Raw genomic sequence first — 27,218 nt, forward strand, 5'->3', positions numbered from 1 at the left:
GGGACACAGCTTCACAGATAATTAGTTCAGGGCTCTCAAACTGCTAAGTACATTAGAATCACCTGGAGAGTGTTAAAATCCCCATGCCCAAAACCGTCCTCCAGACCAGTGAAGTCATCAGTGGTTGGAAAGTTTCCCAGGTGATTCCAAATTGCAGCCAAGTTTGAGAACCACTGATCTAGGTCACTCCCCTTGTTTCTGCAGATACTGGGACCTAAAGAAGATGAGAGAATTTTGCTCAAGTTCCTAGAGCTAGTAAGTGTCTGAGCGGGGACAAACCTTTTCTTTTCTGACTCTCAATTTTGTCCTTTCCTTTCTCTGCTTTCTCAGTTCACTATTTTTTTAATTTGAGACAGAGTTTAGCTTTTGTCGCCCAGGCTGGAGTGCAATGGCGTAGTCTCGGCTCACTGCAACCTCCACCTCCCAGGTTCAAACGATTCTCCTGCGTCAGTCTCCCATGTAGCTGAGATTACAGGCACCTGCCACCATGCGCAGCTGATTTTTGTATTTTTAATAGATACAGGGTTTCACCATGTTGGCCAGGCTGGTCTCGAACTCCTGACCTCAGGAGACCCACCTGCCTTGGCCTCCCAAAGCACTGGGATTACAGGCGTGAGCCACTGCGCCTGGCCTCAGTTCACTATTCATACATGACATCACTTTGCCTTCCTCAGATATGTCCTTATTTCAGATCTTTGCAGAGGCATCTCCTTCTCATTAGCATCTCGGCTTCCATGCAACATTTCTTGAGAGAGGGTGCCCTGACCACCCATACCACCTCCCATATCAGAGCATCACTGTTTTTCTTTTGGGCACTTATCTCTGTCCAACATCATCCCATGTGTTGTCTGCTTTCCCCATTAGACCACATCTTGTTGGCCAGGGTCACAGTTCTCTTGCCAGCTCCTGCAATTGTCCCTGGCCTGTTGTAGTGGTCAGTAAATATTTGTGAAATAAAAGAATGTTGAATGGATTTTTAATAGTGACATTCTCCTAGATGGTTGTCTTCTAAGGGTATAATTTCAAGGGAAGTATACTTCCTATTATGTAAGTTGGAGAAAATATTATTTAATTTTGGGAAACATATTTTCCAGCTCAACTCTTCCAAATCACATCTGTTCCATCATGTGAGGCTCATCTGGGTGGACAATTTGAATTTACTTCAGCTGAAAAACTCCTAGGCTATTTAAAGGGACAACATTTTATCATGATCCAAAAATGGACTTTGATTAGACAATGGAGTGTGATTGGAATAAGAAAGTGCCATGTGACTAAATGGAAACATTTGCTGCCAGTGAAAATCAAATTATAATTGCTCTTCTTGCAGTTGGATGAATTAACAATGTGGCAATTAAAGAAAGCTTTCCAGGTGAATAATATTACATACATAAATTAACCAGGGCTGCAGGCTACACAATGATGGCCTTCAGTGTATTTGTGGGCCCTCATATTCATGAATTCTATAAAATGGCATAAAGGGACCCTAGGAATACTCAGAGGCCACAGCCAATTCTCAAATGTATTAATGGAAAGCTACAATAAACATGACCCCCATCCCATTCAATGGGGTGAATATATGTGGGGTTTAGAGCCTGGTTACTCAAAAGTGTTCTTCCTAGAGCAGCAGCATCAGCATCACCTTGAAGCCTTTTACACAGACAAAATTTCTGAGACCACGCTCCTGGCCTACTGAGCCAGAACATGCGCTTTAACAAGATCCCCAAGGGAATTCATATGCACGCACATTTGAGAAGAATCAGTCTAGATTTAGACTCTAGATCTCTGGACAAGTAGTTCTCAGTTGAAGATGGGGCACGATTTTGTCCCCAAGTGACACTTGACTGGAGACCTTTGATCATCACAACTGGGAATGGGCATGAAAGAGGGTGGAGGGTAGATGTTACTGGCATCTAGTAGGTAGAGGCCAGTGATGCTGCTCAATATCCTGCAATACACAAGACAGTCCCCCACCATAAAAGAATTACGCAGCATAAAAAGCCGGCCATACTGAGGCTGAAAACCCCTGCTCTAGACCAATAGACTCTGTTGTTTTAAATACTAACATTATGGGCAAAACCCAGTGGCTCAAGTCTGTAATCCCAGCACTTTGGGAGGCCAAAGTGGGAGGATCACTTGAGGCCAAGAATTTGAGACCAGCCTGGGCAACATAGCAAGACCCTGTCTCTACAAAAAAATTAAAAATCAGCTAGGTGTGGTGGCACACACCTGTAGTCCTGACTACTTGAGAGGCTGACGCGGGAGGATGACTTGAGCCAGTAGTTCCAGGCTGCAGTAAGCCAAGATCGCTCCATTGCACTCCAGCCTGGGCAACAGAGTGACAGCCTATCTCTATTAAGCAAATTATAGACTATAAGCATTGGCCAATGAGAACTAACTGCAGTATCCATAAAACTGAAACTTGAAAGATGAAATAATTTGAAAATCAGTAATAACTCAATAGCCATGCACATAACTGATGAGTGGCAAAAAAGAAAATCTATCTTGAGAAGCTAAGGATTTAATAGCAAAGATTTTTTTCTTTCTTTCTTCTTTTTTTTTTTTTTTTTTTTTTTTTGAGATGAGGTCTCACTCTGTCTCCCAGGCTGGAGTGCAGTGGTGTGATCATAGCTCACTGCAGACTTGAACTCCTGGGCTCAAGTGAAATTCTTCTGCCTTAGCCTTCTGAGTAGCTGGGACTAAAGGCATGAGCCATCACACCCAGCTGCAAAGATTTTTTTAAAAATAAACTAAACCCACTGTCATCAACCTCACCCTACTCGTCTCCTCCTGTCCTCTCTGCACCTTGCTCTGGTCAAAACATTGCTTCCTGCTTCCTGTAAACCTCCATGCCTTTGTGCAGTGTTTTCTCTGCCTGGAATGTCCTTTCCCCTCTCCTTCATCTGGCATATTTCTACCTCTTATAGCCCCAAAATGTCACTGGCTGCTGCTCTTCTGAGCACTGCCCCTTTCCCTCCTGGCCTCATTCCTCCCCTTTCAGCCTCCAGCATCTCTCACTATTGCACACACATTCCTGGGTGTCCATGTCTGTCCGTACCTGCCCTTTGCTTAAGAGCCTACCCTGGGGGAATTACCAGGACTGAATCCCACTCCAGAGTCTCTGTTCATTGGGCTGGGTGAGGCCTGGGCATTTGTATTTTCAAGCACCTAAGCCAGCGTTAAGAACCATTGTTCTCAGACAGAGGCCAGTCTCCTCAACTCAGGGAACTCTGAGGCTGCCCTAACCAGAGTCTCTATTTCAGAATCATTTCTCACCCTCAGCATCTTGACCTCTTTACTTCCTAGCCATATTCCCAAATGCTCCATTCACACACAAAACCAAAAGAACAACTGCAATAATTTTCCTTAATAACTTAAGTCTATTTGTTTAAATTTTGGAAAAGACAGGGAATGATGAAGCTGAAATTGATTCACCACTAATCCCAGAGCCAAGGGGTAACCACTGGCATATTTTAGTATTTCCTATCAGTACTGTCCTGGGGCATAGTCATCCATAAAGTCACACCCTGTCCTGCAGATGTGCCTCTCTTCATATGACTACTCCTCCTTGGAATGTCTGCCCCCACCTCCATCCCTTAGCAAGCTACTGGAAAGTCCTCCATGCCTTCACTCTAAGCGTCTTTTTCAACGTATTTTCCTGACTAATCTCAGGTAGATGGAATGTCTTCTCTCATATCTTCGTTTCTATAGGACTGTACATCCACCTTGATTTTGGTGCTGATTACAAGCTGAAAGTCTCCTGCAGGACTGTGAGATCTATGAGTGTAGGGATTCATGAATTTTTCTCATGCATGCTTTTTGGTTTGCATTTTAATCCCTGATGCATAGCACAGGGCCCGGCTGGAAGACAGCTGTAGTCAATGTTTATTGAATGTTGAATTTGCTTCCGCAATTGAATTAGAGAATAAGATATGCTCCTTGGTGAAGCCATTCTAGAGGGTGGCAGTTCAGCAATTGCTATGGCATATATATTTTAATCCCATATATATATATGTATTTTTTCTTTTTTTGAGGCAGAGTCTCACTCTGTCGCCCAGGCTGGAGTGCAGCGGCGCCATCTCGGCTCACTACAAGCTCCGCCTCCTGGGTTCATGCCATTCTCTTGCCTCAGCCTCCCGAGTAGCTGGGACCACAAGTGCCCGCCACCATACCCAGCTAATTTTTTTGTATTTTTAGTAGAGACGGGGTTTCACCGTGTTAGCCAGGATGGTCTTGATCTCCTGACCTCGTGATCCGTCCATCTCGGCCTCCCAAAGTGCTGGGATTACAGGCGTGAGCCACCACGCCCGGCCGGCCTACAAATATATTTTAATTTGGCTTTCTTCCTTTTTATGCTTAACATTATTCACCAGGCACAGTGGCTTATGCCTGTGATCTTTAGCACTTTGGGAGCTGAGGTGGGAGGATTGCTTGAGCTTAGGAGTTTGAGACTGGTCAAAATAGTGAGATCCCATGTCTAAAAAAATTTTTTTTTAATTAGCCAGGTATGGTGACACATGCCTGTAGTCCCAGCTATTTGGGAGGCTGAAATGGGAGGGTCGCTTGACCCCAAGTGGTCGAGGCTGCAGTGGGCTATGACTGCACTATTGCATTCCAGCCTGGGTGACAGAGCAAGACCCTGTCTCCCCCCCACAAAAAAAAAAAATTCACTGTTCTTTGCTTTTGCGTTACTAAACAATTCTATTTTGATTGAAATCAAAATGATAGCAAACAGGCATAGTGAGTTCTCTTTTATTCATGTGTTTTAGAATTAGGCTATATAAGAGATGGATGGATGGAGTTAAGGGGGCATGAGAGCAGCAGCTTTGCCCTTTAACAACAAGAACAAGGGCCAGGCACAGTGGCTCACGCCTGTAATCCCAGCATTTTGGCAGGCCAAGGCAGGCAGATTGCTTGAGGCCAGGAGTTTAAGATCAGCCCGGGTAACATGGCGAAACCCTGTCTCTACTAAAAATACAAAAATTAGCTGGGTGTAGTGGCAGGTGCCTATAATCCCAGCTACTTAGGAGGCTGAGGCATGAGAATTGCTTGAACCTGGGAGGCAGAGGTTGCAGTGAGCTGAGATCACACCATTGCACTCTAGCCTGGGTGACAGAGTGAGACGCTGTCTCAAGAAACAAACAAACAAACGCCTCCCCAAAACCCCAAGAACATACAGCTAGGGCCCTCCCAAGCCCCAGAGGGGACCTTTGAGCTCTTTGTGCTGAATAGACTTGGCTTTACCTGGGAATGATGCTTTACTCAGAGTATGCTTCTGTCTTAAAGGGGCTCCAACATTCACAGCAGAAACACCACAGAGGAACAAGAGGAGGACATATGAACTCTCGCATTAACAGTAACTGCATTAGTCCGTTCTCAGGCTGCTATAAAGAACTGCCTGAGACTGGGTAATTTATAAAGGAAAGAGGTTTAATCGACTTACAGTTCCTCATGGCTGGGGAGGCCTCAGGAAACTTACAATCATGGTGGAAGGGGAAGCAAACACATCCTTCTCCACGTGATGGCAGGAAGAAGTGCTGAGCAAAGGGGGAAAAGCCTCTTATAAAACCATCAGATCTCGTGAGAACAGGAGCATGGAGGTAATCGCCCCTGTGATTCAATTACTTCCCACCAGGTACCTCCCATGATACATGGGGATTATGGGAACTACAATTCAAGATGAGATTTGGGTGGGGACACAGCCAAATCATATCAGTTACTTTGTTCACAACTACCACAGTTATATGCATTTTCCCATTTATTATCTGGGGCATAAAGATCCCAAATAGCAATAGTGAAAATCAGTAGATTCTACATGAAAAATATCTACTATTTGAAATAAAATATTTAATCAACCTAAATTGTTAATATTCTTACATTCTTAAAAGGCTTGCCAGGTATAGTGGCTCATAACTGTAATCCCAGCTCTTTGGAAGGCTGAGGCAGGAGGATAGCTTGAGGCCAAGAAGTCCAAACAAGCCCAGGCAACATAGCGAGACTATCTCTACAAATAAAAATTAGCCGACATTGGCTGGGCATGGTGGCTCCCAGCACTTTGGGAGGCCGAGGCGGGCAGATCACGAGGTCAGGAGATCGAGACCATCCTGGCTAACACGGTGAAACCCTGTCTCTACTAAAAATACAAAAAATTAGCCGGGTGTGGTGGCAGGCGCCTGTGGTCTCAGCTACTCGGGAGGCTGAGGCAGGGGAATGGCACAAACCTGGGAGGCGGAGCTTGCAGTGAGCGGAGATCGCGCCACTGCACTCCAGCCTGGGCTACAGAGCCAGACTCCATCTCAATAAATAAATAAATAAATAAATAAATAAATAAATAAATAAATAAATAAATAAATAAAAATAAATTAGCCAACATTGGCTAATCTTAAAGATAGAGTCTCACTATCTCTACAAAAAGAGTCTTGCTGGGTGACACAGTGAGACCAGTGAGACTCTTTTTTTTTTTTTTTTTTTTTTTTTTGAGACAGGTTGTTGCTCTGTTGCCCAGGCTGGAGTGCAATGGCACAGTCTAGGCTTACAGCAGCCTTGACTTCCTGGGCTCACACGATACTCCCAGCTCAGCCTCCCAAGTAGCTGGGACTACAAGCATGTGTCACCATGCCCAGCTAATTTTTTGTATTTTTAATAGAGAAGGGGATTCGCCATATTGCCCAGGCTGGTATTAAGCTCCTGAGCTCAAGCAGTTTGCCCATCTTGGCTTCCCAAAATGATGGGATTACAGGCATGAGCCACTGAGCCTGGCCATGATTCTGTCTTTAAAAAAATAAATCAAATAAATAAAAGGCAAATGTTACCATGCCAGGGAAGTACAATAGGTAATTCAGAGCTTCAGAAAAGAAAAAAATGCTAAATTCTAAGCAAGGCAATGTCCTTACGTAAACTAATTATCGTTATTGACAATTAAGATAGCAAGACTGCCCCCTAAATCCTCCCTGACAGCTTCCATTACATTTTAGTATCACAAAAACTCTCTGCAGTCATTGTGTTAGAACTGCTTGCAATTGTGTCCTGACAATTTGTTGGCTCATAGGGGACTGGGATTAAAAAAAAACAATGAGCCGTTTCAATTGCATTTCAACAAAAAATGGGACACTGCTGTTTGCAGCTTCCTCCAAGCTAAATTTCAAGGGACAAAATGAGGTTGATATTTGAACACGGGCTGATGCTGACTTGTTTGTTCTGCTAGGCCCGGCCATTGGCGTCTATGCTAGATGAAGGGTGCTTCCAGACCAAGTTCGTTTCTAGAACTTTTGAGGAAACTAGCTTTGGAGTCAGACAGACCTCTTCAGTATGATCTTGGGTAAATTATTTCACCTTTCTGAGCCTCAGGTTTTTTGTTAAAATAAGGCATAATGATACAAACTCATGCCAAGGGTATCTTGGGATTGAATGAGATCTGGCATACAAGCACTTAGCACAGTGTCTGCAGTGTGTGGTCTCAGTAAATGGTGGCAATTATGATAGCTCCACATTGTATCCATCATAATACATTTATGAATGTCCTGGGTGTCCTGAGTCAGGTCTGAACCTTTTCAGAGTTCATGAACCCCTGGAGGAGCTAAGAGCTTGCCCACAGGTAGACCTGGTTGACTCCTTTTTCAGGTCTGGACTTGGAGTTCCAAAGAAAGTCAGAAATAGATAGAAAACAAAAGATTAAAGAAATCTTTTCATTGGTTCTCCAGAGCTAAGTCTTGGGATTTTACTCTCCAGAGACAGTAGCCTTCTTTAATAATCTAGGTGTTATTCTGGGATTACTTAGAATGAATTCTCCTAAATCTTTAATTTTAAAGACCCCAAATAAAGACTTTACTATGTTTTCTGTTGAGCCTGATTGACTGAAGGTTTTGATGGGGAATATTATTCCTAATGCTACACCGGAGATACTCAAAATAGTAGTGACTCAGAGTGTGGCAGCTTACATCTGTAATCCCAGCATTTTGGAAGGCCAGGGTGGGAGGATCACTTGAGCCCAGGAATTGGAGACCAGCCTAGGCAACATAGGGATACATGTCTCTATAAAAAAGAGATATGTATCTTTTATATTAAAAAAAAAAACACGGGATACCTTGTCCCTATAAAAAATTTTAAAAAGTAGCCAGGTGTGGTGGTGTACACCTGTAGTCCCAGCTACTTATAAGGCTGAAGCAGAAAGATCAGTTGAACCTGGGAGGTCGAGGCTGCAGTGAGCCGTGATTACACTACTGCCCTCCAGCCTGGGCAACAGAGCAAGACCTTGTCTCCAAAAAATAAATAAATAAACAAATAAAAAGAAAAGAAAAATACTAAAATTAAAAAAAATAGTAGTGACTAAGACAAGATGAAATTTCATCTCACTCTCGTATAATAGTCACATAAGTGTCCAGGGCTGGCATGGTGGCTCCACAATCCTCAGGAGCCCTAGGCTCCTCCGATCTTACTGCTTTTCTGTCTGTAATGTGTGACTTTCACCTCTTGGTCCAAGATGGCTGCTCCAGCTCCCACAATCCCAAGCAATGGGAATGGGGAGGGGAGGGAAATGCAGAGTGAGGCTATAACCCTTTCCTTTTAGGGCAAAACTTGAAAGTTCACCCCAACACTTATTTTCATTCCATTGCCTGAACTTAATCACACACCCACATCTGCCTGCAAAGAATACTGAGAAATGTGATCGTGATTTGGGATGGGCATGTGCCCAGCTAAAAACTGGAGATTCGGTTAGTATGTGAAAGAAGGGAAAGATAGAAGGAAAAAGACAACAATCTTTGTCAACATTCACCATCCATGCAAGCCCACTGCTGTCAGAGATGAACGGGGATTGTATCTCATGACAAAAGCTTCACTAGCTCACACACTTTCAGTGACTTTTTCCTGATTGTGTTTCCTACATTCACAAAACACTTCTGGCTGAAAAACAGTGGCCGTCCCAGTCATTGACTACCACATGTGTTATTGAAGAAATTTTCCTACATTAAAATATTTTTAAGGCTGGGTGCAGTGGCTCATGCCTGAATTCCAGCACTTTGGGATGCTGAGGCTGGAGGATCACTTGAGCTCAGGAGTTTGAGACCAGCCTGGGCAACATAGTGAGACCTTTTTTTTTTTTAATTAAAAGAAAAAAAAATCTTAAAAAAAAGGTTGTGAAAGTAAAATATAGAAAAAACTTAATACAAAAAGATAGCTTCTCTATAGTCTCATCCATCCAGAGGTAAAACTGAAAACTGTTAGCATTTTGGTGTATACTTTTCATGTGATTTTATATTATTTCTCTTTATACATATGTAATATATATAGAATTATACCATATGAGTTAATTTAAAATTTCCTCAGTTGCTTTATATGTCAATTACATGTTTTCATTCCATCAGCTATTCTTTCTTTCTTTTTTTTTTTAAGAGACAGAGTTAGGGTCTTGCTCTGTTGCCTAGGCTAGAGTACAGAGGCACAATTATAGCTCACTACAGACTTCAACTTCTGGGCTCAAGTGATCCTCTCTCCTTGGCCTCCCAAAACACTGAAATTTCTGGCCATCAGGTATTCTATAGCATCATTTTTCCTGTTTTGTAAGGTATCATTTACATACAATAAAACTGGCCAATTTTAAGTGAAAAGTTTGATGACTTTGGGTAATAGTATACAATCTTGAGATCATCATAACAAGATAAAGAACAGTTCTTAATTTTAAAAAGTTATCTGTGGCTGGGTGCGGAGGATCACGCCTGTAATCCCAGCACTTTGGGAGGTCGAGGCAGGCAGATCAGGAGGTCAGGAGTTCCAGACCAGCCTGGCCAACATGGTGAAGCCCCATCTCTACTAAAAATACAAAAATTAGCCAGGCGTGGTGATGCACACCTGTAATCCCAGCTACTCAGGAGGCTGAGGCAGGAGAATTGCTTGAACCTGGGAGGCGGAGGTTGCAGAGAGCTGAGATCGCACCACCACCCTCCAGCCTGGGTGACAGAGCAAGACTCTGTCTCAGAAAAAAAATAAAACAAATAAAAAAGACAAAGTGCATTCTTAAATAAGGGCTCCCAAATTTGTCTCACTGAAGGATGCCTATTGATGTGCGAAAGCTTCTGAACATATTTTCATATTGTGTTGCCTCTTTGATTTAATTGTTGTATTTATTATATTAGAGACAGGGTCTTGAACTCCTGGTCTCAAGCAATTCTCCTGCCTGGGCCTCCCAAAGTGCTGGGATTATAGGTGTTAAGGCCACTGTGCCGGCAAATTGCCTCTTTTAAAAGACTCTTTATAAAAGGTAAATGAAAAGCTTAAGTGATAAGGAAAATTGAATCTGCTAATCTTTTGGCTTAGTTACTGTTGTGTTCTAAAGGTTAAAGAAAGCTGTCCTGGGTATTTGTACATATAAAGTGTTTATAAAAGGTAAGCCCTCAGGTTAAGTAGGTTTGTTTCTTTTTCAGATCTGCCCATGCTGAGTCCATACATACAGAATGCCTTTTTCACCATCTTGCTTGATTGGTTCTCTGCTAAACTCGGTAATTTTAACTAAGAAATAGAAGCTACATTTTTCATTCTTTTTTTTTTTTTTTTTTTTTTCGAGACTGAGTCTTTCTCTCTGTCGCCTAGGCTGGAGTGCAGTGGTGTGATCTCCGCTCATGGCAACCTCCACCTCCCAGGTTCAAGCGATTCTCCTGCCTCAGCCTCCGAAGTAGTTGGGATCACAGGCATGTACCGCCACACCGAGTTAAATTTTTTTTTGTTTAGTAGAGAAAGGGTTTCACCATGTTGGCCAGGCTGGTCTTGAACTCCTGACCTCAGGTGATCCACCTGCCTTGGCCTCTCAGAGTGCTGGGATTACAGGCATGAGCCACTGTGCCCGGCCAGAAGCTAATATTTTTTTCTTTTTTTTTTTAGACGGAGACTCATTCTGTTGCAAGGCTGGAGTGCAGTGACGCAATCTCGGCTCACTGCAACCTCTACCTCCCAGGTTCAAGCGATTCCCCTGCCTCAGCCTCCTGAGTAGCTGGGACTATAGGCGCATACCACCATGCCCAGCTAATTTTTGTATTTTTAGTAGAGATGGGGTTTCACCATGTTGGCCAGGATGGTCGCAATCTCTTGACCTTGTGATCCGCCCACCTCGACCTCCCAAAGTGCTGGGATTACAGGTGTGACACCCTGTCTGGCCAGAAGCTAAATTTTTAAAAAATAAACAAACACCCTTGAACCAGATGGGTCTCCAAAATATACCTTTCTGGCATTCAACTGGCTATTTTTAAAGACTTTTGTTAAAACGATTTATATCCATAAAGGAAATCTCCTTCTGTGAGGATGTCTGCCTCTGTGCACCTGGAAAAAGGGGAGGGCTGAGACAAGTCTTACCTTCGTTTAGGTGCTTTTCCTGGCCAACGTGTCTTGAAATTGAGCTTTCAGCTATACTCTCTAGGTTTGGGCAAATTATGGTACAATATTTAGGCCTGAAGTCTGGCTTTCTGCTTTTTGTTGTTATTGTTGTTGTTTGTTTTTCTGTTTTTTTGAGACAGAGTCTCGCTCAGCTGCCCAGGCTGGACTGCAGTAGTGCGATATCAGCTCACTGCAACCACCATCTCTACGGTTCAAGCGATTCTCCCGTCTCACGTCTCAGCCTCCCAAGTAGCTGGGATTACAGGCACCCACCATGACTCCCAGCTAAATTTTATATTTTAGTAGCGACAGGGTTTTACCATATTGGCCAGGCTGGTCTTGAACTTCTGACCTCAGTTGAACCCCCCTCCTCGGCCTCCCAAAGTGCTAGGATTACAGGCGTGAGCCACTGCACCTGGCCATGCTTTCTGCTTTTGAGATGAGATGTATGAATACATTTTTTCTGCCTTGTTTCACCTAGAAGCCATCCATTTGAGGGTGCAGATTTTGGGTTGCTTAGCTGACCATTGTTTAGGCAATTAAACAGTTAATTGGAAAACCGATGGTCAAAAAGGAAGAAATGTATTAAGATTTAGAACAGAAGAAACAAATAAAACAACTACAGAATGAGAATAAAATTACTGAGGTTATAAAAATACAGATTTAACAAGTTTTTTGTAAACTAGCATTAATTAATGGCACTAATGACTTACTGACCCAATATCAGAAAATACTCTTTAAATGTCCTGAAGTCCCTTGGAAAGGTAAATCTTGTCTGAAATGCTGACATCCAGCGAATTAGGTAAGCAGCATTCCAGCTGAAATAAGATCTGAAATAAGTTAAAACTCTTTAAATGCTCAAACTACCTGCTTTGGATTCCCTGTAGGATTTTAAAAAAGGAATGGGCACAGTGGCTCACGTCTGTAATCCCAGAATTCTGGGAGGCCAAGGTGGGAGAATTGATTGAGCCCAGGAGCTCGAGACCAGCCTGGGCAACATGGTGAAACTCCATTTCTACCAAAAATACAAAAACTTAGCCAGGCATGGTGGTGCACACCCGTAGTCCCAGCCACTTGGGAGGCTGAGGTGGGAGGATCACCTGAACCCAGGAGGTCAAGGCTGCAGTGAGCTGTGATTGTGCCTCTGCACTCCATCCTGGGTGACAGGGCAAGACGCTGTCTCAAAAAGAAAAAAAGAAAAGAAAAAAGAAAGGCTCTCCACTCTAGAACATTGTCTAGGATTTAGTCCTTTACCATTGCAGGCTAAGTTCGATTCCTGTTCAAGGAACCAGTCCCACTTGCTTTAATTTATTCCTATGATTTATGTTACCTTGGCATTCGTTTCAATTCCCCTTTAAAATGCCCAGGCTTCTTGGAGAGGCTTGAGTTCTCCGAGTGTGCTAGAGTGTAAATATGCTACCTCGTTTTCTCTAAAATTCGGTAAGGGTTTCAGCCATGTGGAGAAGATAAGTTTCAGCCTGTTCCATTTGTAGAGATACAGTTTGAATCCAACTGACCCTTTAAACTAGTGAGTTTTACCTGATTCATGGCTAAAGTTTTAAAACTAAAGCTATAAAATCCTTATGTCTGTCTATATTTTTGTGTATACATGTGTACACACATCTGTTTGTGTATTGTCTATAGTACAAATTTGGCTTATAAATAAAGGAGCATTCATAAATTAATTAAATAAGCCAGATGCTTTTCAAGTTCACATGACTTAGTAATCTTTTGTTGGATGGGACAAGTCTAATATTATTGGTTTGATGGGAATGACTGTTTCTTCTCAATTATCAGCAAAATGCGCATGTATTAAGTTTAAAGTTCTTGCTTTTATGATACTTGCCTGGCATACAGTAATGTAAAATTGGTTGACAGGCCGGGCATGGTGGCTCATGCCTGTAATCCCAGCACTTTGAGAGGCCAAGGTGGGCAGATCATGAGGTCAAGAGATTGAGACCATCCCGGCCAACATGGTAAAACCCTGTCTCTACTAAAAATACAAAAATTAGCTGGGCACGTTGGCGTGCGCCTGTAGTCCCAGCTACTCAGGAGGCTGAAGCAGGAGAATCCCTTGAACCCGGGTGGCAGAAGTTACAGTGAGCCAAGATCGTGCCACTGCACTCCAGCCTGAAAACAGAGCAAGACTCCATCTCAAAAAAAAAAAAAAAAAAAAAAATTTGGTTGATAGAAAATTTAGCTTGGGATGGTAGCTAGATTAGTCTAGAGTTTCATAAAGTTTTCCAAATATGATTGCTAAGAGTAAATGAATATAAAGGGGATAACAGTTTGTAAGTGAACTTCTGATAATGGTTATGTTTTGTAATATGTTTACCTAGAAATATTTCTCAAATCTCTTTAGTAGCTATACCCTTAGGGGTTTGCTAAGCTAAATTAAATGACAGAAGTTCATTGACTGGCTAGATCCTTTCCAGATAAGATGTAATGCTGAGACTAATCACATGCTGAATAAGAGTTTAGACTCATATACTTTTGGCTTCTTATTTCAGAAGAACAAAAGTTCTGAGGATCTGTTAGTAAAAATGTTCCTATTCCATATTAAAGAGTTGTTCTGTTGAAAAGCGTATGTCGCTGGACTTGTAAAATGTGTAGTCACGGATTGTGGGTACGTGATTGAAAGTAAGTTGCTTATTTTAGCCAAGCACAGTGGCCCACACCTATAATCCCGGCACTGCGGGAGGCAGAGGTGGGAGTATAGCTTGAGCCGGGGAGTTTGAGACCAGCCTGGGCAGCACAGTGAGACTCTGTCTCTGAAAAAAAAAATTGCTTATTTCCTAGGTGTTCACTGAAAATTAGAGTGCTAAGAGTTAACATTGTAATAAGTATATATATTGAAAACTGCTATATGTAAGACAAACAATTCTATGTAAAAAGTGTGTATAGGCTCGGCCCAGTGGCTCACGCTTGTAATCCTAGCACTTTGGGAGGCTGAGGCAGGTGGATCACCTGAGGTCAGGAGTTCCAGACCAGCCTGGCCAACATTGTGAAACTCCCTCTCTACTAAAAATACAAAAAATTAGCCAGGCGTGGTGGTGTGTGCCTGTAATCCCAGCTACTCCGGAGGCTGAGGCAGGAGAATCGCTTGAACCCAGGACGCAGAGGTTGCAGTGAGCTGAGATGGCGCTACTGCACTCCAGGCTGGGGGACAGAGCAAGACTCTGTCTCAAAAAAAAGTAGTGTGTATAAGGACAATAGGATGTGTTTTTGGTTAAAAAAAAAAAAAAGGTTATAACCTCTTAACCACATGCAAATGTGGTTTTTGTTAAAGGCAAAGTAATTTTGTCTAGTTTAGAGGTTTTTAAAAGTTGCTTTAAATGGAAGGAAAAGAGACAGATAAAACTAACTGGAGGCTGGGCGCAGTGGCTCATGTCTGTAATCCCAGCACTTTGGGAAGCTGAGGCATTGAGGATCACATGAGGTCAGGAGTTCCAGACCAGGCTGGCCAGCATGATGATACTCTGTCTCTACTAAAAATACGAAAATTAGCCAGGTGTGGTGGTGCGTGCCTGTAATACCACCTCCTCGGGAGGCTGAGGCAGGAGAATTTGAGCGGCAAAAGTTACGATGAGCTGAGATTATGCCACGGTACTCCAGCCTGGGCAACAGAACAAGACTTTGTTTCGAAAAAAAGAAAACAAAAAAACCTAAATGGATATAGAAGTTAAAAAAACAAATAATGGGAAAAATTGTAAGAGGTTATAAAAAGTTTATAAAAATCTTACATTTTGTGTTCTAAGCTGAATTGAGATTGGATGGATTTGTTTATAAGGTTTTGTTAAAATTATCTTTAGCATTAAAAATATACTGAGGCAAAGGTAAAATTCGGTTTTCTCTTTTGAGCAAGATTTTTGTGTAGCATTAATGAAAGATAGTAAATATTTTTGTTTACCTTTTAAGCCAACTGCAAAAAATAAAATAAAATAAAAAGAAGAGAGACAGATTCCATTCGTTTCATGCTGTCTTTATTAGGTTTCTGATTGTTTGAAAAAAATGAATCTCTTCTCTATCAAAGAGTAAAGGTTTCTGCTTTTTTAAAATCTTTGAATTTAAAATCTTTGAATATCAATTTGCCTATATGAATGACTATTATTTTACAGTGACCTGTAAGTCTATTTCGATCAAGTGTTTTAAATCTTTAATATTGACAAACTTTCCAAAATCAAATTTCAAATTCTAAATTCAGTCTTTTTAACCTCAAATAATTATTTGAATATTAGGACCTGTAGAAGTCTAAGAGATCCATATTAGGCTTATTTGGTATATTAAAATCATATGCGAAACATTGTCAAATAAAAAATGGTGTTTAACTTTGTTTGGGTTATGTATTAGTTTGTTTTCACGCTGCTATAAAGATATACCCGAGACTGGATAATTTATAAAGGAAAGAGGTTTAATTGATTCATAGTTCCACATGGCTGGGGAGGCTTAGATCAGCCACTCGCTGTTCTCAAAGACAGTGACCCTTTGCTCATTACAATAGTAAAAAAAAAAAAAAAACCTCTGGATGGAGATATAAGAAGCTAATGAGACATTCGAGGTATGAACAAGCATGTACAGCTACTGCACATGTGCACCCAGAGGACCAACCAGAACATGCTTACTAGCAACACCTCTTCCCACCTCCTTATGAATGATCGTGTAAGGGAGCCTCCTTCGTGCCAGCCTCTGCTGTCTCATCCTTATGAGCAGCCGCCCTGAATCCTCTCCCTCTTAGGGTGTACTGTCTATTCTGTGCTTTCAAAATATTCTTTCTCCTTTACGATAAGTTGTTCTATGCTGCATCTCCTTTGCTGTGTGTCTCCTGTTTAAAATATTTTAAACTAGGAAGACAAGAACTGAGGTATCACAGCAGCCGGTCAGATCCTGAGAGGACCTGAGACTGTCACTTTCACCACCTGCAGGTCACCATTTTACTCTTCAAAAATTGCTTCTAAAAAAAATTTTTTTTTCAATAGTTTTGGGGGAACAGGTGGTTTTTGGCTACATGGATAAGTTTTTTAGTGGTGACTTCTGAGATTTCGGTGCACCCATCACCTAAGCAGTGTACACTGTACCCAATGTGTAGTCTTTTATTCCTTACCCTGCTCCAGCCCTTCTCCCTGAGTCCCTAAAGTCCATTATCTCATTCTTATGCTATTGCGTCCTCATAGCTTAACTCCCACTTACAAGTGGGAGTTAAGCTTATATGATAACATTCGGTATTTGGTTTTCCATTCCTGAGTTACTGTACTTAGAATAATGGTCTCCAACTCCATCCAGGTTGCTGCAAATGCCATTATTTCATTCCTTTTTAATGGCTGAGTAGTATATATACTCATATATATATATGTATATATACATATATATATACTCATATATATATATGTATATATACATATATATATACATATATATATATATATGCCACATTTTCTTTATCCACTTGTTGATTGATGGGCATTGTATTAGTCTGTTCTCACACTGCTAATAAAGACATACCCGAGACTGGATAATTTATAAAGGAAAGAAGTTTAATTGACTCACAGTTCCGTATGGCTGGGGAGGCCTCATAATAATGAAGAGCAAAGTCACGTCTTACATGGCAGCAGGCAAGAGAGCTTATGCAGGGTAACTCCCGTTTGTAAAGCCATCAGATCTCATGAGACTTGCTCACTACCATGAGAACAGTATGGGGGAAACTACCTCCACGATTCAATTATCTCCATGCCCTGCCCTTGACATGTGGGGATTATTACAATTCAAGGTGAGATTTGGGTGAGGACACAGGCAAACCATATCAGGCATTTAGGCTGGTCCCATATTTTTTCAATTATGAGTTTTGCTGCTATAGACGTGTGGGCAAGTGTATTTTTCATATAATGACTTCTTTTCCTCTGGGTAGATACCCAGTAGTGGGATTGCTGGATCAAATGGTAGTTCTACTTTTAGTTCTTTAAGGAATCTCCACACTGTTTTCCCTAGTGGTTGTACTAGTTTACATTCCCATCAGCAGTGTAAAAGTGTTCCCTTTTCACCACGTCCACGTCAACATCTATTATTTTTTCATTTTTACATTATGGACATTCTTGCAGGAGTAAGGTGGTATCTCATTATGGTTTTAATTTGCATTTCTCTGATAGTTAGTGATGTTGAGCATTTTTTCATTTGCTTGTTGGCCATTTGTATATTTTCTCTTGTGAATTGTCTATGTATGTCCTCTGCCCACTTTTTGATGGGATTATTTGCTTTTTTCTCACTGATTTGTTGTCATTCTTCAAAAATCGTTGAGGCAAAACAGAGTTAAGGAACATCAGAGGAAAGAGCAAAATAAGCACTTTGTTTTTTAGGCAAAAATCTATCCATTGTTTTTTGTTTGTATGCTCTCACTATGTTGCCAGGCTGGTCTTGAACTCCTGGGCTCAAGCGATCCCCTCATCTTGCCAACCTATTGTTACTGTCAGTTCTTATAAGTAAAGGCTCAGGGGACAATGAAATTTTTATTTAAATTATCTTTAGACAAACAGGTGTGTACTTTTTTTCTTTCCTTTTTTTTAAATGGAGCCTTGCTCTGTCACCCAGGCTGGAGTGCAGTGGCACAATCTCGGCTCACTGCAACCTCTGCCTCCTAGGTTCAAGTGATTCTCCTGCCTTAGCCTCCCAAGTAGTGGGACTATAGGCGCATGCCACCACACCTGGCTTATTTTTGTATTTTTAGTAGAGACAGTGTTTCACCATGTTGGCCTGGCTGGTCTCAAACTCTTGACCTCAAGTGATCCAGCCCGCCTCTGCCTCCCAGAGTGCTGGGATTACAGGTGTGAGCCATCACGCCTGGCCAAGGTGTGTACTTTCCTTGGGAAGATTCTGCCACACTTTCTTGCTATAGCCCGAGGACTATAGTGTGTATGTGTGTGTGAGTATGAGTGTGAGAGTGTGTGTGTGTATGTGAGCATGAGTGGGTGTGTGTGAGTGCATATGTGTGTGTATGACAGTGTGTGTGAGTGTGAGTGAAAGTGGGTCTGTGTGTGTGTATGAGAGTGTGTGTGTGAGGGAGCATATGTGTGTGTAAGTGTGAGATTGTGTGAGAGCGTATGTGTGTGTGTGTGAGGTTGTATGTGAGAGAGCGTATGTGTGTGTGAGTGTGAGAGTGTGTGTGAGTGTGAGTGAAAGTGGGTCTGTGTGAGTGTGTAATTGTGTGTGTGTGTGTGTGTGTGTGTGTGTATGTGAGAGAGACAGCATGCAGTGAGGGGTGGGGAACAGGAAACCGAGTTTGAGAACAAGATAAACATAAACATGGAACTGATGGGATCATCCACCTTCATAGTGACCCAGCTCACAGATGGTTTGAAAACGAGGCATTAATTCATTCTTAGTCTCATTAGGAGCCTCATTAATTTCTTTAGCAAACTTTGCTGTGTTCCTTCACTGTTCCAGGTTCCTAGATGCTGGCAATGCCAGGATGGATGAATTACTTTCCTTGGCCCGGAGAGCCTCACCGTCTAGAAAGAGATACAGACGTGCAAATAATTGCAAGAGATTCCTCCAGGCAGCTGAGTGCACCTTCTGCATACCTTTGATATCTAATATTCAAGTCATATCCCAGCCCTTGCTCCCCACAAGCAGACAGAACCAAGAATTCTTCAACCTCTTCTGTCCTGAGACCCTGCCTGGGGCTCTCCTGATTCTCTCAGCCACCAAGCTCACCTCCCAGTCTGTACTTTGGGCTTTTCCTCTCTCTGCAGGTATGAAGTGGTCTACTCTGTTGCCGCATCTTGTCTTGGGCTCTATTAGGGGCTGAACCATGTCCCCCACAATCAATCCTGAGTACCTCTGAATGTAACCATATTTGGAGATAAGATCTTTAACGAGGTGATTAAGTCAAAATGAGGCCTTTAGGGTGGGGACCTAATCCAATATGACTGGTGTCCTTACAAAAGAAGAGCCACCCGGGATGCATGCCTGCATCACACACAGAAAAGGCCATGTGGGGACGCAGGGAGAAGGCGGCCGGCTGCAAGCCAAGGAGAGAGGTCTCGGGAGAAACCAACACTGCCAAAATCTTGATCTTGGACTTCTAGCCTCCAGAACTGTGAGAAGGTAAATTCCTGTTGTTTAAGCCACTCAATCTGTGACATTTTATTATGGCAGCCAGAACAAACTAATACAGCCTCTAACTCAGTCTTTCCATCTGAATAAAGCAGCCTTGTACCAATAAATGCTCTGAGCCCTGTTACCCAACTGATCAGGGACAGAAGGAACAGGACTTAGTGACCGATCGAATGTGGGGGGCAGTGATGTGAGGGACTCACAACGAGGTTCAGATTTGATTGAGCTGGGGCTGAACCCACTGCTGTTGAGGATGCGGCCAGACACTGATGGAGTGCTGCTGTCTGACATTGCCTTTTCAGACTCCACAGAATACCTTTCCCCACCAGACTAGATCATGGTTTTCTCTATATGATTAGATGGATGAAAATGAATCATATGTGAGTGAACCCAGGTTCCCTCTCCCCTCCTCCCAAAAAGGAATTTGGCTTCACTTACTCAGTTCTTTTCTCCCCTAGTCCTCCAACCGGGTCTTTCCTTGAAGGATTGACTCCTTTTGGCTTTTTCTGGCACAGACTTGGAAAAACTGGAGAAGGAAAAAGAAGTGAGGAAGCGCAAAGGCTAGAGCTGAGGGAAGTGTATTTTTCCCAGGGAGGGTTGGTGAATGGCGCAGAGGTCTCTGTCATCTTTAAATGAGGTTGTTGGGAAAGGAAAGAACATTTTTAAGAAGCACTTCTATGGGTACATATCCCTTTGTGATATTCAAAAAGACCAAGAGCTTGAGATTTTTTGAAATTACTTTGATTGCTGGAATATCCTCCTTTGAAGGGAACACTGTCCTGAGATGGATCACTTGGATCACGGATTCAACTGGGTTACATTTGCATTCTAGGCGTGATGATTCCCTTTGGACTGATTAGACCAAGAGACTTTTGGTTATAGGGCTTGAGACAATCCCCCTTCAGCTTCTCACATGTTAAACCTTCTTTCCGTTTATATCCATGCCATCACAGCATAGCAGACTCTAGCTTGCTTGGCACTATCATCTATAAATCCACAATTGCAACCCCACATTAATCCAACTCCCTGGCACATGGTTCATGGTCTTATAACTCATAAGAGTTATAAATTCTTTTTTTTTTTGAGACGGAATTATGCTTTGTCACCCAGGCTGTCACTCCAGGCTGGAGTGCCTTGCCCAAGATGGGCAAGGCTAGTCTTGAACTCCTGACATCAGGTGATCTGCCTGCCTTGGCCTCCCAAAGTGCTGGGATTACAGACATGGGCCACTGCGCCTGGCCTAAATTCTTACATAAAGTGTAACTTTCACAAGGATTCATATGCCTAGAAAAAATGTCAGAAGAATATACCCCCAAATACTAACAGTGGCTGTTAATAGTGTTGAGACTGTTTCCTTTTTCAATTTTCATCTGTATTTTCTAGATAGTCTATATTTCCCACATATATTACTTTTATAAAAAAGGAAAAAATTATTTAAATATTATAATTTTTTAATATTAAAGGATAAAAGGAATCACAGAAATTACCAGATACATTTCGATCTGATAACTGATAGATAACAATAGTAAGTAGGCCAGGCACGGTGGCCCACACCTGTAATCCCAGCACTTTGGGGAGGCCAAGGCAGGCAGATCACTTGAGGTCAGGAATTCGAGACCAGCCTGGCCAACATGGCGAAACCCCATCTCTACTAAAAATACAAAAATTAGCTGGGTTAGGTGGCAGGTGCCTGTAATCCCAGCTACTCGGGAGGCTGACACAGGAGAATTGCTTGAACCTGGGAGGCGGAGGTTGCAGTGAACCGAGACCACCCCACTGCACTCCAGCCTGGGAGACAGAGCGAGACTCTGTCTCAACAACAACAAAAAAAACTAAGTAGCCCAGGTCTGCATTCTAACATAAGTTGACCATTGTGATAGCACAACTTTACAATACACTTGTTAATGTCTTTTATTCCCAACTCTTTTGAAAATTTCACTGCACTCCATTTGCCTCTCTCTCCCCTTCCACTTGGGACCTCAGGGCATGTTTCAATGACTCATTCATTTAATTCCTGTCATGCAGAAATGCATCTTCTGCTAGGCAGCCCTTGAAGTCACCTCTTGTGTCACCCAGTGCTCCCATAGCACAGCACTCAGCAGATTGCATTGTAATGCCTGTTTGCCAGCTTCTTTTTCTCACTAAACAATAAACTGCTCAAGGGCAGAGACCATGTCCATGTTATTTCTCATGATAAATCCAACACCTGAGGCAGTATCTGGTGTAGTCCTGGGATCTATTATTTGCAACCCAGACCCACTCTCCGCCTCCTCTGTTCTGCTCTGTGCCCTGGGAAGTTGGCCCACAGTGACACCAACCAACTCCTTTGCCCTCTGGCTTTCAGGTGGGTTTGGCCCAGGGGTGGAGTAGGTTTTGTTGGGGCTTAAAGCTCACAGCATCTTCGGTGTTTTCCTTAAGAAAATAAGATTATAGGCCAGGCATGGTAGTTCATGCCTGTAATCTCAGCATTTGGGGAGGCCAAGGTGAGAGGATTGCTTGAGGCCAGGGTTTCAAGACCAGCCTGGCCAATATAGTGAGACCCCATCTCTATTATAAAACATATTTTTTAAATAAAAAGATTATAAAATTATGAATATAAAATAAGGTACAAAAGTAAATATTTTCAATAAGAAAAAAATACATCCTGAAAAATAGCATCATATTTTTTGTCAATGAACTTCCTGATATGCCTCTGTAATCATTTTTCCCCTACATTTTTGGTCTGAATTCTCTTGAGTGCCTCTTCATGTGACAACAGTTTTGTAATATTATGTACAATGAAGAGACTAGATAATTCAATTTTTCTTCTGGCACAGTGTACTATTTTTTAAAAGTTCTTTTATCTCATAGCCTATTACTGGTGACATCATTTAAATTTCTAGTATTTTTGTCAAATTCAGGAAATACATTGGCAATGTGTTTTTTTTTTGTTTTTCCCCTAGATGAGTTGTAAGGGTTGAAGAAATGTTCTGACTGGCTTCTGGATCTTTTCAACTCGATCCCTTAGCCCCTTCCCCATACACACACACACACACACACACGCACACACATACTCCACAGGACACAGTGACATCACAGTGTGACTCTGATCCTGCACAGAGTATGGTAGGAGTATTCCTGAAAATTCCTCCACTGGAAAGGAAAAGACACAGATAGGACTGTGAGCCACATGCATTTCCCCCCAAATGCAAAGTAAGCATATCTCCAAGTCAACTTCCCCTCAGCAGGACCCTTCAAATACCCATGATCATTTTCAGTACCACATGATATAGGAGAAGTCTAGTGGAGAGTGTGAAGAGACAGCAAACTTAACTAGCTGCAGGTGTGTTACATTTGGAGGCTGGGCATGGTGGCTCACACCTGTAATCCCAGAACTTTGGGAGGCCAAGGTGGGTAGATCACTTGAAGTCAGGAGTTTGAGACCAGCCTGCGCAACATGGTGAACCCCCATCTCTACAAAAAATACAAAAAAAGAAAAAAAAATGGCTGGCTACAATGGCGTGCACCTGTGCTCCCAGCTACTGGGGAGACTGAGGCAGGTGAATTCCTTGAGCCTGAGAGGTGGAGGTTGCAGTGAGCTGAGATCACGCCATTGCACTCCAGCCTGGGTGATGGGAGTGAAACCCTGTCTTTAAAAAAAAAAAAAAAAAAAAAAGAATAAAGGTGTGTTACATTTGGACATTTTACAAAAACCCCATGACCATGCGAACATTGCTAGGGCCCACCCAGAGTCTTAGAAGGGACCAGTGTACATGAAAGTTGCTGCTGGTTAACAGTCATTAGCTTCATGGCAAATCCACCTCTGGTTCTAGCAGTGGGAAACATTAACAGCAGGTCAGAGAGAGGGAGGAGGATAAAGGTAGGATATTTATTTCCCTGGCTTCCTCCCAGTAGGGTTGCTGCAAGCTGGCTAAGTCCTGCAACGAAGGTCACAGCTCCTGTGAGGTCGCCCTCTTCATAGAGAGGCCGCTATGCCCAAGTCCTAGTAACTGCTTTATCCTCTTGTCCTTTGAGGCTTAGGAATGGCAATAGAGCCCACTACATTATTCCTTGTGGTTTCCCTATAGTTTCCTGAACCTTTTAAACACTCTGTTTATTAAACTCTCCTCAAGCTCTTAACTGCTTCCTTTGTTTTCTCTAGGGTTTCTGGCTGATAAAGGTATATAGGAGGTTCTGAAATGTTATTGAGTGAATGAATAAATTAGCACTAGAAAAAAAGCATGGACTTTGGAAGAGGACCAGAATTTAAAACCAGACTAGAAGTGTAGAGTTGGGGGAACTCAACCCATTTCCCACCACTTCCATCGACCTCCTGTGGCATCCTAATGTTCAGAAGGAGAAGAACATTCTAGAAGGAGAACAAAATTCTATCAGCAAGAAGTATAATACTCTTGTGCCAAAGGTGTGCACAATCAGCCAAGTGACCTGAGAAATGCAAGTCCTGGCTCTATTGAGGTCATCAAGGAGAAAGCAAGCCGCTGGCAAGTCAGGAATCTGTCTCAAAGTAAACATGTGGCTTGTGACCTTGAGGATGTGCGTATGTTTATTGTTGGGGCAGTTGCTTTTTCCTTATCTCTCACCAGCTCTCAAAAGACCTGTTTAAGTTTTCTGTAAGAGGATATATCTCATGTGCAGTTGCAAATATGCTTCTTTATTCTTCTCTGGCTAATAATTATCAAAGTTACAGTCATGAATATTCACCTTCTCAGGCTGCTCTGTCAGAGATTTTTCTGGGTGGGCATGGTGGTTCACACCTGTAATTCCAGCACTTTGGGAGGCGGAGGTGGGCGGATCATTTGAGGTCACGAGTTCAAGACCAGCCTGGACAACATGGTGAAACCTCGTCTCTACTAAAAATACAAAAATTAGCCAGGCGTGGTGGTGTGGGCCTGTAATTACCACTACTCAGGAGGCTGAGGCAGGAGAATCACTTGAACCTGAGAGGTGGAGGTTGCAGTGTCCCAAGATCACACCACTGCACTCCAGCCTGGGCAACAGCATGAGACTCCACCTCAAAAAAAAAAAAGAGATTTGTCTTAAAGCTGTGAGCCATAAGGCTGGGCACAGTGGTTCACGTCTGTAATCCCAGCATTTTGGGAGGTCGAGGTGGGGGGACCGCTTGAGCCCAGAAGTTCAAGACTAGACTGGACAATATGGTGAGACCCTGTCTCTATAAAAAACCAAAAATAGCCAGGCGTGGTGGTGCAGTCTTGTAGCCCTAGCTACTCCAGAGGGTGAGGCAAGAACATTGCTTGAGCCCTTGAGGTTGAGGCTGCAGTGAGCTGTGATCATGCCACTGCACTCTAGCCTGTGCGATGGTGAACTTGTCTCAAAAAAAAAAAAACAAAAAACGCTGTGAGCCATGTCGTTTAGAGTCTCTCAAGAAACTGTTTTTTCTGGTCTTCATTCTTGGTGTCAAAGGCAACAAAATATTATACCAAAATACATTCCCATGCTTGAACATTTCCAGTGGAATATAACTTGTCTCAAAATGAGAACCAGAAATGATGCTTATGTCATCAAATCAGTGATTGCTATTGCAGAAAATATGACAGTCTGATTTGAAGAAATGCTGATCTGCTATTAAGGGAAAGGGTGCTATTTTAGCATAGTTTATTTATTTAGAGAAAAATCTCATAGGTTGGCAGCTTCACACCTGTCTATTAACCCTGCTTCCCGCATACTTCCATTTTGATGTCTAGTACTGATAATGCAGATTTCTTTCAATGCTATCATATTAATATTTCCCAACTCAGTTGACTTACATGTCGACAATAAACCTTGACAGCAGGTGAGGAATATGTTGGCTTTCTGGCCAATATGCTGAGCTTTTTGAGAAATGCTTCTTTGAGGGTTATGTGCTTTGAGTTCTGTTTATGGTTATGGAGATAGAGTTTCCTCATTCGATTATCATTTATTCAAAGTCTCTCAACTTATTCTCTCTTATGATTAATGGCATACATAATGGAAAATGTGAAGTTATAGCTACAATCAGGAATATAAAACAGCAAAAGGTTCTCTGGCCTGCCCAGAAACCAAACCTATGACAGTCATGTGATTAGCCCCATGTGTTGACCACAGGTTTAGGGATACCTCTTATAAAAGGACGATTGATATGAAGGTGGTCTTTCTATTGCAGCAAGGGACAGATCCTTTCATCTACTGAAAATAGTGCTTTAAAGTATACGAATTATTTCACTCATTAAAGATAACTGAACGTGAATTCCTCAAATAGAAACATTTCAAGTTGTACTAGGTTGGTGCAAAAGTAATTGCGGTTTTTGCCATACTTTCAATGGCAAAATATGAGAAAGGTAAGAACTGATGACACCTATGTTCATATGTTCTGGAAATTATTGCTCAGGAAGATATATGTAAACCAATAAATAATTTAACTGTTAATAATTGGCTTCAGGAGATTCCTGCAAACTTATTTATCTAGGAAAACAGTTTGCTCATGTGGGAAACCAACCCTCCTATCAGAAACAGATTGCTCACCTGAGAAAAAAGCTTGTGTATCACATCAAAAGCCTTCCCTCACTGGGTCCATCAATACTACACTGTTATGTCAACAACTATGCCTGGCATCAATCAGTTCCCTGTAGTGAAAAATCAGCCTAATGCCACTTGAGCCTGACCCCAAGTTCTATAAATAGCTTTTCTTGAAATCCTCCTTCTGAGACACTATCTGTCAAGGTGTGTTTTCCTTCGCTACAGTGAGTCTAACAAAATTAGTTTTGGGGGAGTTGACAGTCAACAGAAGGGAGGAACTAACTAATATTTATTGACTATAGATGTAGCTTCTCATTATATGTCAAACTATTATATTTTATTATCCGATTCCATTGCTAATTTGTATTGAACACATTAAATATATTTGCTATAAGTCCGTGTTAAGTTCCGCTATGACTTTGGCTAGGAGGAAGTAAAGTCTTTATCTTGTTATTCTGAACTCTAAGATTCATAGTGAAAAGCAATAGATATTTGAAACTTTCTTTACTCTTAGTTAAAAATGGTGAAATTTTAAGGCCTTAAAGAAGCTTCCACTTTTCACCCTTCATGTGAATCTGGCCTCTACAAATGCAGTGTTAACAGAAGTGGGTGTGGAAAATCCTTCCTTTCCACCTTCCCCTTCTGCCCAACCCCTACCGCCCTGAGGTTAGCTTCTACGTCCATTAACTATCCTGAAACATTGCACAACCCTGGTATTATGAGTTGAATTATATCACCTCCAAAAGACCTATTGAAGTCATAACCCCCACTACTTCAGAATGTGACCTTATTTGGAAGTAGGGTCAAGTCAACTTAAAATGAAGTCGTCGGAGTTGGGTCCTAATCCAGCATGACTGGTATCCTTTTAAAGAGGGGAAATTTGGATACAGAGACAGATACACACAAAGGGAAGATGATGTGAAGACACACAGGCAGAAGACAACCATGGGACTAGAGTGATGCCTCTATAAGCCTAGCAATGTCAAGGGTTATGGGCAAACACCAGGAGCTAAAAGAGGCAAGGAAGGATTCTCCCCTGGAGCCATCAGAAAGAGCATGGCTTGGGCAACACCCTGATTTCAGACTTCTAGCCTCCAGAAATATGAGACAACAATTTCCTTTTTTTAAGCCATTCTGTTTTTGTTACTTTGTTATGGTAGCCCCAAAAAACAAATTTATCCATAGTCAACATTTTAAAGGAAAGACTGATTACATAACATTTTAAAGGAAAGACTGATTACATAAAACATTTCATTGTGTTTTAT

The 27,218-nt window shown here is 42.1% G+C and overlaps 1 long non-coding RNA gene across 2 annotated transcripts in view; it reads left to right on the forward strand.

The window, feature by feature from the left end:
* LOC105373903 (uncharacterized) overlaps nucleotides 1–26,492 on the forward strand; it is a 40,146-nt gene extending 13,654 nt beyond the window's left edge. Inside the window, exons 1-4 of one of the 2 annotated variants that reach the window (XR_923948.3) lie at nucleotides 6,830–7,315; nucleotides 10,416–10,490; nucleotides 18,790–19,452; nucleotides 23,603–26,492. This is a non-coding gene — a long non-coding RNA (uncharacterized LOC105373903). Of the gene's footprint in view, nucleotides 1–6,829; nucleotides 7,316–10,415; nucleotides 10,491–18,789; nucleotides 19,453–23,602 lie in introns of those variants that run through there. The other variant, XR_001739904.2, reaches the window with a different exon arrangement.
* Nucleotides 26,493–27,218: the final 726 nt, after the last annotated feature.

This window comes from Homo sapiens, chromosome 2 (assembly GCF_000001405.40).
Source record: "Homo sapiens chromosome 2, GRCh38.p14 Primary Assembly".
Taxonomy (NCBI): Eukaryota; Metazoa; Chordata; class Mammalia; order Primates; family Hominidae; genus Homo; species Homo sapiens.